Below are 16,466 nucleotides of genomic sequence, written 5' to 3'. Positions count from 1 at the left end.
CATTCATTCATGATATTTTCGACCTCCACAAGTCCTAGATGGCGGGAGGGAGGCATCTATGGGGAAATTACTTTGTTAATGAAAGGCAATAAAGAAAGTCATCACCAATGACTTTTTTTTAAGAGACAGCATCTCGCTCTGTCACCCAGGATGGAGTGCAATCCTATGATCATAGCTCACTGCAGCCTTGAACTCCTGGAATCAAGGGATCCTCCCGCCTCAGCCTCCTGAGTAGGCAGGACCACAGGTATGTGCCACCACCCCTGGCTAACTTTTAAATATTTTTGTAGAGATAGGGTCTTACTTTGTTGCCCCCTAGGCTGGTCTCCGATTCTTGGCCTCAAGTGATCCTCCTGCCTCTGAAAGTGATTGGATTATAGCGTGAGCCACTGCACTGGGCAGAGCTTCTTTCTCTTGAATGAACCAGGACCATATTCATAGTTTGAAAAGATTGTGATATGCATTTAATAAAAAAGGGGCAGTTTATGGAATAATATTATCAAAATGCTTTTAGAGTATAGAAGGATCTCAAAAACATGGTCTTGGACGTCGTTTAATGATTACTGATTTTGGAGATGACATGTTCTGAAAAGTTCTAAATGTAAGACTTTATAAAAAACCTACTTAACAAAATGTCAACACTTGAAATCTTTGATTCCCTTGCCCAAGGAACTCTGACGGTTTCCCATGATAATGATTATACGGGTGACACCCAACTTGGCAATTTGCTCATAGCAGCCTAGAAGAGGAACTGCCTGCCAGTGAAATATTATCAAAGAAATGGATACATGTTAATTTTGTTTAAGAACGATTGAGTAGGGATCATCTTGGCTTTCAGCTAGAGATTTCTCCCAGCCAGAATTTTCTCCAATTACATAATAAATAATGGAGGCCTCATACTTTAGATTATTTCCACATTCATTTTACAAGCTATAGCTTGTCTTCTAAACGTAAAGCACATTCAGTTATAAACTGAAGCCCAGGGAACAGAATGTTCCCTGGACTTGGAAACACTATGTACTTTGCCTTCTTCTTCTTTTTTAATATTTTAGAGCTTGTTTAAACAAATTTAGCCCTGTCTTTAATTAATCCTAAAGACAAGAAAATGATAAACTATGCATTGCATTAAAGAGATAGAGAGAGAGAGAGAGAGAAACTTCACATTTTTAGCAAAATCAACTTGGCTTTTTCTTTTGAAGTTTTCCGAAATTGTCCATTGTGTGCCAGAGAGGCACAGGCACAGATTGGTCATGCAGTCCCTATTTCCAGAAAAGGCAACGTGAGCTGTCTGCCTGGTTGTGGGCCACCTGGCCTGTCCTCTGCACTGTCCATTCATTTCCTCTGCTCTCCCTCACTGCCCTCACTGCAGCCCCTCTGCCAATGACACCTGGCCATCTGCTTTTTCGAAAACAAAGGAAATGCATTTCTCCCACAGATACAAACAGCAGAATTGCCTTGGGAATTAGTGGCCCACTGTAGGTTGAGTATTGGGTGTGGTTTTCCATTTTGCCTCCCCATGGGGGCCTCCGAGAAAGCGTACCCACCCCTGGCGGGCGGTGGGTTCTAGTCCAGGGCTGATTTCTAGTCAGCTGTGTCCTGGGGAATCAGGTGGGACGCTGGGATGACAGCAGGAATGCAGAGGAGACCATCCTGGGAGGAAAGGGTGTCGCCACGTGTAGAGCGCTTCTCCCTGCAGGCCCTTGTGTGCACAGGGTCTGTCTGCTTCTCTCATGGGACCGTCACAAGGACATGGATTTGTGTGCCATCCCCACTTTAGATAGGAGGCCACCAAGGCTCCTGGGGGGAAAAGTGGCTTCATGAGTGGTAAGGGAGGAACAGGATCCTGCGGAGACTATACCTGAGAGATATCTGGAACCTGCACTCCTAGCCACTAATACCCCAGGTCGCTTATGTGTGTGATGTAAGTGGTGCTGGATGGAGACCTCTCTCCTCTCCCATCCCACCGGCCATGAGAAAGGCCCATCCCAGTGCCCAGCCGCAGAAGGTGTGGAATATGCAAGTTTCTGCTCTCCCTGCCTTCCCCTAAACATCACTCCTTTTGCTCACTGGGGTCTGAAGTGGCCCCACACAAGGACAGCTTTTCCCTTCAGAAAGGAGAGGAGGCAAAAATGCAAACAACTTGGCAACCAGGTTGTTCATATCCAACGTCGTGGCTTTCATCCCAAGAATCGTTCTCAAAGATGAGAACTGGATGGAGAGGCGCTATTCCGCTAAGGTGGAGGAACAGGGCTCGGAACAGAGAGAAACCACACAGCCCAAGGGCAGTGTCATCTCCTGCCACGCACAGCCTTCCTCCATCCAATCCATGCAGACTGACGCCTACCCTGAGCTCAGCCAGACCCCGGGAGGGAAGCTGCCCTTCAAAGTGCTCATGTCCAGGTGGGAACTGGAGCAACACAGCCCTCTCTGCAGAGCTTATGTGGGCTGAGGGGAGATTCTCGGGTGGATGCCTCCCTGTTTACATGAGGCAAAATATTAACCCTGGCTGTCAGGAGCAATGGGAGGGAGAAGAGAGAAGCCGGTGGCTTTGACTTGCGACTGTGGCAGGTGAAAATTCACCCCATCTAGCTTGCCAGGCCATGGGTGTGGACCAGGTCAGGTCTCCATCAGGGCCTCATAGATACTCCGTGCAGTTTTCTTGGACTTTTCGCCTCCAGAGCTGTGAGGAAATCGGTGTCTGTGGTTGAAGGCCCCCGTCCGTGGTGTTTGTTTTGGCCGCCCCAGGGAACTCACACATTGTTCCTCATTTAGCTGCGGCCACACTGGCTTCTCTGCTGTTCCTCAGATATCCTGGCTCACGTCTGTCTCAAGGCCCTGGCCCTGGCTGTTCCCTCTGCCTGGAGTGCTCTCCCCAGCCCGCTCCTTGCTAACGGCCTTGCTTGCTTCAGCTCTTGAGTCTGTTCCCACGCTGCTGTAAGGAACTACCTGAGACTGGGTAATTTGTGGAGAAAAGGGATTTCATTGACTCGCAGTTCTGCAGGCTGTACGGGAAGCATGACTGGGAGGCGTCAGGAAACTTACAACCATGGCGGAAGGAGAAGGGGAAGCAAGGGCCTTCTTCACACGGTGGCAGGAGAGAGAGGGAGCAACGAGAGAAGCGCCACACGCACTCTTTTTTTTTTTTTTGACAGAGTCTCGCTCTGTTGCGAGGCTGGAGCGCAGTGGCGCGATCTCAGCTCACTGCAATCTCCGCCTCCCCGGTTCAAGCGAGTCTCCTGCTTCAGCCTCCCGAGTAGCTGGGATTACAGGTGCACGCCAACACACCCAGCTATATTTGTATTTTTAGTAGAGACGGGGTTTCACCATGTTGGCCAGGATGGTCTCCATCTCCTGACATCGTGATCCACCTGCCTCGGCCTCCCAAAGTGCTGGGATTATAGGTGTGAGCCACCACGCCCGGCCGGGAAGCGCAACACACTCTTAAAGCATCAGATCTCATGAGAACTCACTCACTATCACAAGAACAGCCGGGGGAAATCTGCCCCCATGATCCAATCTCCTCCCACCAGGCCCCTCTTCCAGTTCCACATGAGATTTGGGCAGGGACACAAATCCAAGCTGTCACTCATATACCCCGCGTCAGTGATGCCTTCCCGTGTCCCAATCCGTTTCTCCAGCTCACTTCTTTCCTCAGCTCTCATCACCCTGAGCACGTTACATCTCCATCTCCTGCTTCTCCCTCACAAGATGTGAGCTCCATAAGAGCAGGACCTTTGTTTGCAGCTGTATCCCAGGGTCCAGAACAGGGCCCAGCACATAGTTGCTGCTGCATAGTTTTGTTTGTTTGTTTGTTTGTTTGTTTTTGTGACAGGATCTTGCTTGGTCATCCAGGCTGGAGTGCAGTGGTACAATCTCAGCTCACTGCAGCCTCAAATTCTTGGACTCAATTGATCCTCCCACCTCAGCATCCCAGGTAGCTGGGACCACAGGCACACACTACCACGCCTGGCTAATTAAAAAAAAACTTTTTTTAAATAGAGATGAGATCTCACTATATTGTCCAGGCTGGTCTCCGACTCCTGGCCTGAAGAGATCCTCCTGCCTTGGCCTCCCAAAGTACGGGATGACACGCATGAGTCACTGCCTGGAGCTATTTTTTTGTTTTGTTTTTTGTTTTGAGTGAATGAATGTACAGGTCATACTCCATGTGCCATGTGTGAACTCAATCCAGAGGAAAGAAAAGAACTTTCATGTGAGGAACGTGAGCCCTTTCAAATTATCAGGCCCAGAGAGGCATTAAAATGAGATAGCAACCATTCTCCACTTTCCCACTTTGAGCTGTGTGTTCATCTCTTTAAACTATTGCTATTGCCACAGATAGCTGTAGATTAACCTAATAATGCCACAGGGGATGCTGTAACCCACAACCTATAGCTTAACCATGTATAACCAATTGCTCTTCAATGTTGTTCGTGTACACCAATGAGAATTCCTGGCAAACAACTTTGTAGCAGCCAACTCCCTGCCTCTTGTTTTTAAAAATCCACGTCTACCTGCGCTCTTTGGATTGTAGATTCAGGACAACTTGAATCTATGCTCTCGGGTTGCAATCCTCAAGCTTGGCCAAATAAATTATCTGCTTGGATTAATTTTGCCCCACCTTCTTCCTTTCAGGTAGGCAATCTTCACAAACAGCCCCTTGAAGCAGGCATGTCTGAGATCAGCAAGGTTAAGTAAGCCCCCAAGGTCATCTTTTTACTCGGCAGGAGAATGACAGTTTGAATCCAGGCAGCCTTAGCTCTGATGTCTTTCTGCCTTGGACAAGGTGCCCGAGCCTGTCCCTGCTGTCTGGAGAGGTGCAGCTGGGGTGGTCCCCGGCAGGAGCTGGACATGCAGATCCGGTTGTAATTGGTCTGGGACCATCTACATAGGAGCTATGGGCCCAGGGAAAGACAAGACCATGTTGAGGACTTGGTTTCCCCTTTTTCTTAAAGCTGAGACCCCTGCCTATGTCAAGTCACACATTTGAAAAGGCAACCACATTTCACATCACATGCATATGTATTTGGGCATAAAATAATTTGAAATGATTTTATCAATTTATTTAAAAACATAAGTAGGCTGGACGTGGTGCCTCACGCCTATAATCTCAACACTTTGGGAGGCCGAGACGGGTGGATCACCTGAGGTCAGGAGTTCAAGGCCAGCCTGACCAATATGGTGAAACCTTGTCTCTACTAAAAATACAAAAAATTAGCCAGGCGTGGTGGCGTGTGCCTGTAATCCCAGCAACTCAGGAGGCTGAGACAGGAGAATCCCTTGAACCTAGGAGGCGGAGGTTGCAGTGAGCCGAGATCACGCCACTGCACTCCAGCCTGGGTGACAAGAGCGAAACTCCATCTCACACAAAAAACAAAAAAGCAAACAAAAAAACAAACGTAAGTTATCCTGTGTTTGGCTGTGATGTCTAGCCAATTAACCTGTACACTAGGGAATGCTTTCAAAGTCATGTTATTTTTATAATAGAATGGAAATTTTTAAAAACCAAATTTAGTTATTTTTAAATGCCATAAATATTATATTGTGTACACACTTACTTAAATGGATTGGTTTTGTTTTTGCAGTTTTCATATTCTGGAGAGTATCTGTATTTTTCCTTTCCCCAATTTTAAATATTTTTTGGAAGTCTCATGACTAGCTTGTGCCCCTGGGCCCAATAGCAAAAATGACTGCAGGCAAGGACCACAGAAGGGCACCCAGGTGGGCCGGTCCAGCCCGCAGGTTCAGAAGCCAGGCCACCTGGGTCTGAAGCCTGCCTTGACACTTTCTGGTGGCCTGAACAAGTGACCTGCTTTCTCTGTGCCTCAGTTTCTTCTGCCAAATGGGAGTGATACTAGTATCACCCTGCTTGTCAGAGTTTGTGAGGGTGAGGCTAAAATGACTTACAAGCAAGCATGCACTCGACACGTTAGCTCTTATTGTCATGGAATAGAAGGGTGTTAAGAACAGCATGGAGCCGGGCACGTGGCTCACGCCTGTAATCCCAGCACTTTGGGAGGCTGAAGGGGGCGGATCATCTGAGGTCAAGAATTTGAGACCATCCTGGCCAACATGGTGAAACCTCATCTCTACTAAAAATGCAAAAATTAGCCAGGCGTGGTGGCATGTGGCTGTACTCCAGTTACTCAGGAGGCTGAGGTGGGAGGATTGCTTGAACCTGGGAGGCAGAGGTTGCAGCAAGTCAAGATCGCGCCACTGCACTCCAGCCTGGGCAACAGAGTAAGACTCCATCTCAAAAAAAAAAAAAAAAAAAAAAAAAAAAAAGGAATAGCCTGGGTTTGTTTCAGGAGCTTCAGGAGGAAGTGGAGGCAGGAACGAGACTGAGAGGCAGGAAGGCTGTGTAGCTAAGCCATTACTAGGGAGTGTAAGGAAGGGGAGCACAGGAGAAGAATCACTTCTGGAGATGGAAGCCAGCCCAGAATGCATGGAGAAGCAGAACCCACCAGGGTCTGAGGAGCAGGGGAGGGGCACACTTTCATCTAGCATTGTGATCAGCCTTGTAGGAAATGAACACACTCCACATGTATAGACACTTAACAAATATAGCATTTACACCTTACAGCAGGGCCATAAAACTGATGGTGCAAGCTGAAACTGGGCAAAACAGTTTTAATAATTAACGGGAAATTTGTGAGTGTTCTGTGACCTTTAAACCATTTTGTCCAAACATTCAAGGTTGTCTTAGCGTCAGTTATAAATGTACAGTACAGGGAAATAAAAAGAAATGGAGTAACTAACATTCGTTTCATACACTGTGATTGAAACGTTCCAAACATTAAAGTGTTTTATTTATCTGTAAAGAATTTATCAAGAGTAGTTCAAAAAATGCCTGGCTGCTTCTTCTCATCCTATGATGTTGATATGGTTTGCATCTGTGTCCCCACCCAAATCTCATGTTGAATTGTAATCCCCAGTGCTGAAGGTGGGACCTGGTGGGAGGCGAATGGGTCGTGGGGGTGGAGTTCTCATGAATGGCTTAGCACTATCCCTCTTTGGCACTGTATAGTGAGTGAGTTCTCACGAGATTTGGTTGTTCAAAAGTGTTTACCAGCACCTCTCTCCTCCACATGTCCCTGCCACATACGATGTGCTTGCTTCCCTTTTGCCTTCTGCCGTGATTGAAAGTTTCCTGAGGCCTCCTCCGGAGTGGAGCAGATGCTGCCATGCTTCCTGTGCAGCCTGTGGAACGGTGAGCCAATGAAACCTCTTTTCTTTATAAATTACCCAGTCTCCGGTATTTCTTTATAGCAATGTGAGAATGAACTGAGGGAGATGTACACTACTAAAGCATCTTTCTAGGCATTGGTGACTTGTCCTACGTTTCTAAGTCTGGTTCAGCTTCCATCTGAAATTTCCGCACATGGGACCAAAGCAAAGACTGCATACCTTTATTATCTAACAGTGAACAGTGATGACAGGAGTACATGACACTGCTTTTTGAAATGTGGTCGTGAACTGGGGTACTAGTGCTGCTTCCTTGCTCTGGAGACCACCTTTCCCACCTACCAAAGAAATGATCTAAGCTCTTATCATGTGGTTCAGGAATGAGGGGTTTCTATGCAGGCCTAGCCATGTACTGGACGTATGACACTGGTGTGTGTATTAGTCCAGTCTCACACTGGTATAAAGGATTGTCTGAGACTGGGTAATTTAGAAAGAAAAGAGGTCTGATTGACTCACAGTTCCACAAAGCTGGGAAGGCCTCAGGAAACTTATAATCATGGTGGAAGGCAAAGGGGAAGCAGGCATGTTTTACATGGCGGCAGGAGAGAGAGAGAGAGCGAAGGAGAAAATACCACTTTTAAAAAACCATCAGATCTCATGAGAACTCACTCACTATCACAAGAACAGCATGGAGGAAACCGTCCCCATGATCCAATCACCTCCCACCAGGCCCCTCCCTTGACACAAGAGGATTACAATTCAAGATGAGATTTGGGTGGGGACACAGAGCCATACCATATCAGCACATTACCAAAAGGTTTTGTGCCTCAATTTCCTCTTTTGTAACATGTGTGTGGAATTAAATATACCTGCTCACAAGATCACCATTAGGGTTAAATGAGGTAACGTAGATAAAACATTTACGACAGTGCCTGGCATATAGTAGGAGCTTGGGATGTGGAAACTATTATTTTTATTATTTATTTATTTATTATTTTGAAACAGGGTCTCATTCTGTCTCCCAGGCTGGAGTGCAATGGCACAATCATGGCTCACTGCAGCTTCAACCTCCTGGGCTCAAGCAATCCTCCCACCTCAGCCTCCAGAGCAACTGGGACTACAGGTACATGCCACCATACTCAGCTAATTTTTAAATTTTTTTGTGGAGACAAAGTCTCACTATATTGCCCAGGCTGATCTCGAACTCCTGGGCTCAAGTGATCCTCCTGCCTCAGCTTCCCAACTACTGGGATTACAGGTATGAGCCACTGTGCCCAGCTTATTTTTACTATTTAAAATAGTGACTATGGGCATTTCCTAAGTACCAGGGCACTGCTGAGCAAACAATAGGTATGGCCTTATCCAATCCCCATAACATTCCTCAAAGGTGGTTCTAGAATCTCCATTTTACAGATGTGGAGGCTAAAATTTAGAGACAGATTTAACATGCTTATGGCCATGTTAGATCCAAGTTCATCTGACTCCAAAGGTGAAGCTTTTAATCACTGTTATATTTCTCCAACCGTCAAACTCTGAGAACATCTGGCTATAACTGTTCCTATATATATATATCGTTAAACATACATGTTCATTAAGGATTTTTTGGTTGTTTGTTTGTTTTTGTTTGTTTATGAGACAGAGTCTTGCTCTGTCACCCAGGCGGAATGCAATGGCACGATCTCAGCTCACTGCAAACTCTGCCTCCCGGATTCAAGCGATTCTCCTGCCTCAGCCTCCTGAGTAGCTGGGACTATGGGTATGCACCACCACGCCGGACGAATTTTGTAGTTTTAGTAGAGACGGAGTTTCACCATGTTGGCAAGGCTGGTCTTGAACTCCCTACCTTAGGTAATCAATCCACCTGCCTCGGCCTCCCAAAGTGCTGGGATTACAGGCATGAGCCACTGTGCCCTGCCCATTAAGTCTACATTATACCTAAATGATCTATTGTATAATGTGTCAGGTCATATCTATACCCATTTTTATATTGTAATTACGTAAGACCACAAGAACTTTTCTGTCCATATCCTGAAAAGTAGATCTCTACCCCGTGTTTATTCTTCAAGGTTTATATAAATTTAGGTGATAGAATGGGTGCTCTTATCATGAAATCATGAGCTTACCACCCTAAAATGACAGAAATAACTTAGTTCTGTAGTAATTTCTGGGCAGCTTCAGATTAGATTTCCTTCAATCTATTTTGAGGTGTAAATATTTCTCCTGGGGAATCATTGAGTTGGGCTTTCTAATTTGATTTGGCAGAAAAGGAAGTGGAGTCTTTCTGCCTCACAGGGAGCAAAGCATTTCAGTGCATTTGGGAGATATTTAGATATCTGTGTAGGTGTTTTTAATAAGTTAGTTCACCTAATTGTATTTCCTCTCCACTAAAGAAGAAAAGTCCTACCTTAATGGGTTTAATCTTCCTAAATTATTTTCTGGTTTTAATTGTGCTGTTTCCCACAAGCACCTAATTTAATTATAAGATTGTAACGCTTTTCTGTGAAAGGCTTGCTTGCACGTTGGGAATGCTGGGATTCAGTGTTTTGGGGAGGGGGGAGGAGTGCTTGTTCACTCTGTCAAGAGTGAGCAGGGGCCGGATGCAGTGGCTCACACCTGTAATCCCAGCACTTTGGGAGGCCGAGGCAGGTGGATCATGAGGTCAGGAGATCGAGACCATCCTGGCTAACACGGTAAAACCCCGTCTCTACTAAAAATACAAAAAAAAATTAGCCGGGCATGGTGGTGGGCACCTGTAGTCCCAGCTACCCGGGAGGTTGAGGCAGGAGAATGGCGTGAACCCGGGACGCAGAGCTTGCAGTGAGCCGAGATCACGCCACTGCACTCCAGCCTGGACGACAGAGCGAGACTCCGTCTCAAAAAAAAAAAAAAAAAAAAAAAAAAGTGAGTAGGAAAAATGCCCGAACACTTAGCTGCCTCAGTTGTTCAGGTCTTTGCGAAGTTTGCAATGTGAGAGGGCCAGACCCAGACAGGTGCTGTGAAGGACCACAGCCCTGTCCCGGGATGCGTCCGGTCGTAAGCTGCAGACGCACACTCCGAGGGCTGGGATCGTCCTCTGTTGCCAGGAAGCAGCTTCACTTCAAAAGCCATTTACTTTTGCACAAATAATAATAAATCAACTGACCTATAACCCTGCAATGAATTCAGGAAATGTGTGTTCCCACTAAACAATTAGTGTCCTGGAGTGACATATCGAGCAGTTACTTTTGCAACAGCTTTTAAAGACATTATACTATACGCAGAATAAGAAAGAAGGAAAAGGAATTACGTTTTTTTTTACCGTAGTGGGGAAAAGACGGATCTTTTTGCAGTGGGAGGGTTTTAGCTTATAGGAAATTCACTCTCAAGAGCAGCTTCCAGCCTTTGAGATGCCCAGGTATGCAGGAAGCTCAAGCCAGCTTGGCTCAGTGGCTCCAGCGTGCCTCTGGTCAGTTCCTCATGCAAAAGGAGCCGCTTTGGATTGGCCCAAGAATGGGGCTGCGGGCATGCAGAGCACACCGGGCTTCTGAGAGAAGGGAGGAAGGTATCTGGTAGATCCCTCCCATGGCATGTCCAGTGTGTGCATGAAAAGCGTGATTTGGGGCTGGGCGTGGTGGCTCATGCCTGTCATCTCAGCACTTTGGGAGGACGAGGAGGATGGATCACGATGTCAGGAGTTCAAGACCAGCCCAGCCAGTATGGTGAAACCCCGTCTCTACCGAAAACACAAAAATTAGCCAGGTGTGGTAGCACGCACCTGTGATCCCAGCTACTCAGGAGGCTGAGGCAGGAGAATCACTTGAACCCAGGAGGCAGAGGTTGCGGTGAGCCGACATCGCGCCACTGCACTCCAGCCTGGGAGACACAGTGAGACTCCGTCTCAAGAAAAAAAAAAAAAGCATGATTTCAGAACAAAAAGCAAAGAAGGAAGACCAGGAGAAAGAAAAATGCCAACATTTTAACTGGTGGGATTCCCAATAGTTGTTTTCTTCTCTGAATTTTCTAATCTGAAAATAATTTTTAATAATTATGGCCATGCATCATTGTGTAGGTGAGTGTGTGTGGAAGAGACAGAGAATGAGAGAATGAGAGAGAGAGACAGAGACAGACAGAGAGAGAGACAGAGACAGACAGAGAGAGAGACAGAGACAGAGAGAGACAGAGAGACAGAGAGAGAGACAGAGACAGAGAGAGACAGAGAGAGAGACAGAGAGAGACAGAGAGAGAGAGAGAGAGAAAGAGAGAGAGAGAATGAGAGAGAGAGAGAATGAGAGAGAGAATGAGAGAGAGAGAGAATGAGAGAGAGAGAATGAGAAAGAGAGACAGAGAGAGAGAATGAGAGAGACAGAGAGAGAGTGAGAGAGAGAGACAGAGAGAGAGAGAATGAGAGAGATAGAGAGAGAATGAGAGAGAGAGAGAGAGACAGAGAGAGAGAATGAGAGAGAGAGAGACAGAGAAACAAAGCAAGATGGCTATCTTGACTGATGATGACGATGACATTTTTAGTTTAAATAAATTTTAGAGGACACAAGTTCCCTACAAGAAAAAAGTACCAAATATAATAATGAATTCTAGGTTCTTCCATATTAGGTAAAGAACCTGTACACATCATAGTTTTGTTGTCATTTTTTCCTGAAGCAGCATTCCTTAGAAGCATTCCTAAGGGGTCTGTTCTTTAGCAAGAGTCCAAAGATGTGTTCCATGAAAAAAATATGAGAAGTTTGGAAAATAATCACCTGCTGGTGACTCCTTCATTTATTTATTAATAAGTATTTGTTAATAATTGAGATCTCACTATGCTTGAGACACCATTCAAGACATGCAATATTTAAGATACAATCTCTGCCTTCCTAGTACTTATATAGTACTCTAGATAGAGACGAGAAAGCAGACCAGCAGAGTCCAGGGACATGGGACCAACATAGCTGCCATGATGATCCAGAGACTCCTGCCCTGCAGTTGCCGATTAAGGTCTGAGAAGTCCTATAGTCAAGAGACCTACTTAATTTCTATAAACTCCATATTGCCAAACCTTTATGTAATAAGTTTTGATACCTCTCAAAACTTCTGCAGTCTACACTTGTGGAAACACTATCGTTTCATAAACCCAGCAATTCAATGTAAATTTATCATTGGCTTCCCTAAAGTAATTGCTTGGGAGCTCTTGTGCTTGGAGAGTTTGGAAACACATTAGTCTTTTGCAGAAACGAGTTAGGGCAGCTGGGGAAGATGACCCTGTTTTCCCTCCCTTCTCTACTTCTTCCTCAAATGACTGGTATCTCGAATTTGCATAACGGAGGCCAAAAGGTTTTGTGCTACAATAAAAGATAAGACTTGAAGAACAAGTCCCAGATATGACCAGGAGCATGCTTGAGAGTCAGCGACATGCAAGCGAATGATATGAGAAGTAGCTTGAGGGTGGATCTTTGTCCAGGGAGGAGAAGGGTTGAGGGGCTCTTGGAACCTAGATATTTGCAGTGGAAGCAGCACTGGGCTCCTTGGCAGATGACTGCTCTTTGTACTCAGGATAAAACCCACATTTGCTGCCCAGCATCTGAGGCCCTGCCTACCTTGGGGATGTTGTAATGTTTTTCTTCCCCCTTAGTTCCAGCCACACTAAGGTTTTGAGCCTGAGATCACCAGGCTCCCTGAGTCCTTGGCCTGTACCCTCACCTGCAATGTTGGTTTCCTCAACCCCTCAGATCTCTTACTTAATGCCCCTTCCCTTTAAGGTGCCCCTTCACTTAATTTAAGGGCACCTCCCTTCCTGCTATCTTTTTATTTGTGTGCTCTCTTGTTTCCTGTTTCCTGATTGAGAGTCACCTCCTGGATGGCAGTTCAGCTCTACTGTGTCCCCATTGGAGACGCAGGCCCCACTGCCAACCACACAAGAAATAGGCTCTGAAATATTTGTTGGATCCATGAATGGTTGATTGGCTTTCATTGGGCTGCTGGGAGGATTAAATTATGAATGTATAAAGGTGATTACATCTCATTCCTATATACCCATTACATTGATGGATAAGTATTAGGTTCTCTCTCCTCTTGCCAGGGACTTTAAGAAGCTGCTGAAGAACCCAAGAGGAAGGTGGGAGCTGTTGATGGTGAGCGACTCATACCACCATCCTTCAGGGAGGGTGTGGTTGGCCATAGCATGGTTAAGGAGAGCCAAGAGCAGAGATGCTTCTGAGTACAACCCAGCAGGGTGGAAAGAAGGAGGGGTCTACCCCAGTGCACATTTGTTGGAGGAAGGCAGCTTTCGTGGGCTCCCGACATTCCATTATTCTAGAACTACAAGTTAAGAACGAGAGGAGACTTGGGGAGACTCTGGTCCAATTCGTCTTTCTTTTTTCCAGGTGTGGAATTAGAGGCCTGATGGAGTGGAGAGCTTTCCTCCTCATCACCTGGGTCAGGACCATGGAGCTCCTTGAGCCTTGAGATTCCAGGCCCAGGAGCACATCATCATTGTGCTTCTTGGGGCCCAGGCGCATCTCCTAAGAACTTGTTCTTAGACATGTTGTGCTCAAACTTGTGGCATCATGTGAGTTTTAATGTTAAATCTGGAGCAAGGAAGGAGAGAAGGAAGGAAAATGGGAAAGAAGAAAAGAAAGAAAGAAGGAAAGAAAGAGAGAGATTGAGAGGAAACCAGATATATAAAGACTTTATATATATAAATATATAAATATATATGTATAAATAAATATATAAATGTATATAAAAATATATGTATAAATAAATATATAAATGTATATACAAATAAATATATAAATATATATATATAAATATATAAATATAGATAAATATATTTATATATTATATATAAAATACATTATATATAAAATACATTTTATATATAAATATAATTATATAAAAATATAATTATATAAAAATGTATATATTTATATATAAATATATATAAATATAAATATATAAAAATATATATAAATATATATATAAATATATAAATAAAGACTTCTTGGCATCTCACCACAACCATTTTTTATCTACAGAGCAGTAATAGTTTACAATATACCTACAGTTTCCTGGGCAGATCATCGTGTGCAGACCGGCTGCAGAGAGAAGGGAACTGTTTCACTTTCATCTTCCTGGTAAGGCTGGAAGACAAAAGCCATCCCTTGTTCCAATTTTGAAGGCTATAGGGAAGGCAATTTGAAGGGAAAGACAGCTTCTTTGACTGATGCAAATGGAATGAACTCCAGTGGAGTCCTTTCAGAAATCACTGTGCAGTTGTAGGATGGCTGTAGCGTAATTTGATTAAACAAACAGGCAAAGAGAAGCAAGAGGAAAGGCAGGGGGGCATTGTTTCATGTCAAGGTTCTCCTGAGTTAGTGATGGTGTGTCCTGCTTTCAGACTTGGCTATGTTTTAATTCTCAAAATGTCATTGCTTGAATGGTGCCACTTATTTTAGGTTTATTTCTGGCACATTGAATGGGTAAGGCTTTCCCAGAATCTTTCATAAACTCAGTTGCTAGGCTTCTCCCCCCATCACCATCCAAACCCTCACCTACTTTGTGCCATCGTCTACCAAGATTTTTCAAGGAGAATTCTTTATGCTTCCCATTTACCTTTTCAAAGGAAAGCTTTGTCCAGGGTTGACACTGGAAGGTTCAACATATCCCTGATGTCTGGTTTCCTTAGGTCTAAACATCTGTAGACTCTGTAGACTGAGTAGGCAATTCAAAAAAGAATTTGCCAAATGCTTTTAAATCTTAGATCCGTGGCTGGCACAATGGAAGATGTCCAGTAAATATTTGCTGAATGAAGACATTAGAATATCAATTGACAGAGGCGAATGCCCTTGGTCATTGTAATCTGTCATAATGGTGGACTCTCAGACCAATTTGCCGCAATTTTTTTTTAAGACTTTGCTATGCTTCACTTATGATGTTAGATTAAATATATTTTTAAATAAATAATTATTTTCTTCTACTTCTTGGTTCAAATTCTTAAACTTGATGTTTAAAGAAGATAGAAAATGAAGTAAACCTTGGAATTTAATGAAGCCTTATGATTCTTAAATAAGTAGAAGTCAGTCCTCATTACCTACTCATCCTGTAATTCTCTTCTCCACAGGGCCATTTCCAGATATGAATTGCAGAGACATATTTCAATATATCCTCACCCAAATATGCTTTAGAAGTACATTTCTTTTAATGTAATAAGATTTATGTCCTTTGTGTTTGTTTAGAGGGTAAATCTGGATTTGTATTTTTAGAAGTTACTTTCACCAAAGAAATTCGAAAGAAATAGTGTTTCAGAAAAATCAAAACAAGCCATAGAAATCTAATATGTTTCAGATACTATATTGGGCTGCATGAAGACTAAATCCATAATATGTATGAATAATGTATTCTAAAGTAAATATCATATTTTGTCAAATTATTTGTCTGGCAAAATTAAGTTCTTTTTTCTTTAAAATGAACTTTTTTTCTTATTTCGAAGTGATGTGTATGTAAAGAGGCAGTGTAGACTGGTGGTTAGGAGCACTCTGGAGTCAGAAGCCTGCTTCAGAATCTTGGCTACCTCACTTACCAAGGATAGAGCTGTGGGGAGTTTACTTGTTCTCACTCTCTCTTCTTTTTTCCATCTGTAAAATGGCAAAAATAAACCACCTAAGTAAAATGGCCTCTGCGAGAGAGAAATAAATTAATATATGTTGCTATGGTTTAAATGTGTCTCCTCTAAAATCCATGTAGCAGCTTAATCCCACTTTGATGGCTGTGTTAGTCTGTTCTCACACTGCTAATAAAGACATACCCAAGACTGGGTAATTTATAAAGAAAAAGTGATTTAATGGACTCACAGTTTCACATGGCTGGGGAGGCCTCATAATCATGGCAGAAGGCAAAGGAGGAGAAAGGCACGTCTTACATGGCAGCAGGCAAGAGAGCTTGTGGAGGGGAACTCCTATTTATAAAACCATCAGATCTCATGAGACTTATTCACTACCACGGGAAGAGTATGACAGAAATTGCCCCTGTGATTCAATTAATAAGACTTATTCACTATCACGAGAACAGTGTGAGAGAAATTGCCTCCGTGATTCAATTATCTCCACCTGCCCTTGACACACGGGAATTATTAAAATTTAAGGTGAGATTTGGGTGGGGACACAGCGAAACCATATCAATGGCATTGAGAGATGAGGCCTTTGGGGATGTGATTAAATCCCAGTGGATTAGAATAGATTAGTACCTTATAAAAGGCCTGGCGGGGACTAGTTTAGGCCCTTTTGGCCTTTCCATCCCTTCTGCCATAGAAG

At 44.2% G+C, this 16,466-nt stretch overlaps 1 long non-coding RNA gene across 2 annotated transcripts in view; it reads left to right on the top strand.

The window, feature by feature from the left end:
* LINC00114 (long intergenic non-protein coding RNA 114) overlaps nucleotides 1-15,586 on the top strand; it is a 34,457-nt gene extending 18,871 nt beyond the window's left edge. Inside the window, exons 2-7 of one of the 2 annotated variants that reach the window (NR_027065.2) lie at nucleotides 7,147-7,210; nucleotides 8,191-8,308; nucleotides 13,235-13,286; nucleotides 13,539-13,723; nucleotides 14,193-14,291; nucleotides 15,278-15,586. This is a non-coding gene — a long non-coding RNA (long intergenic non-protein coding RNA 114). The remainder of the gene's footprint in view (nucleotides 1-7,146; nucleotides 7,211-8,190; nucleotides 8,309-13,234; nucleotides 13,287-13,538; nucleotides 13,724-14,192; nucleotides 14,292-15,277) is intronic. The other variant, NR_027066.2, reaches the window with a different exon arrangement.
* Nucleotides 15,587-16,466: the final 880 nt, after the last annotated feature.

The sequence above is a fragment of the Homo sapiens genome, chromosome 21, assembly GCF_000001405.40.
Source record: "Homo sapiens chromosome 21, GRCh38.p14 Primary Assembly".
NCBI classification, from domain to species: domain Eukaryota; kingdom Metazoa; phylum Chordata; class Mammalia; order Primates; family Hominidae; genus Homo; species Homo sapiens.
Note: the sequence above shows the minus strand (reverse complement) of the source record. Positions and strands in the feature narration are given on the sequence as shown.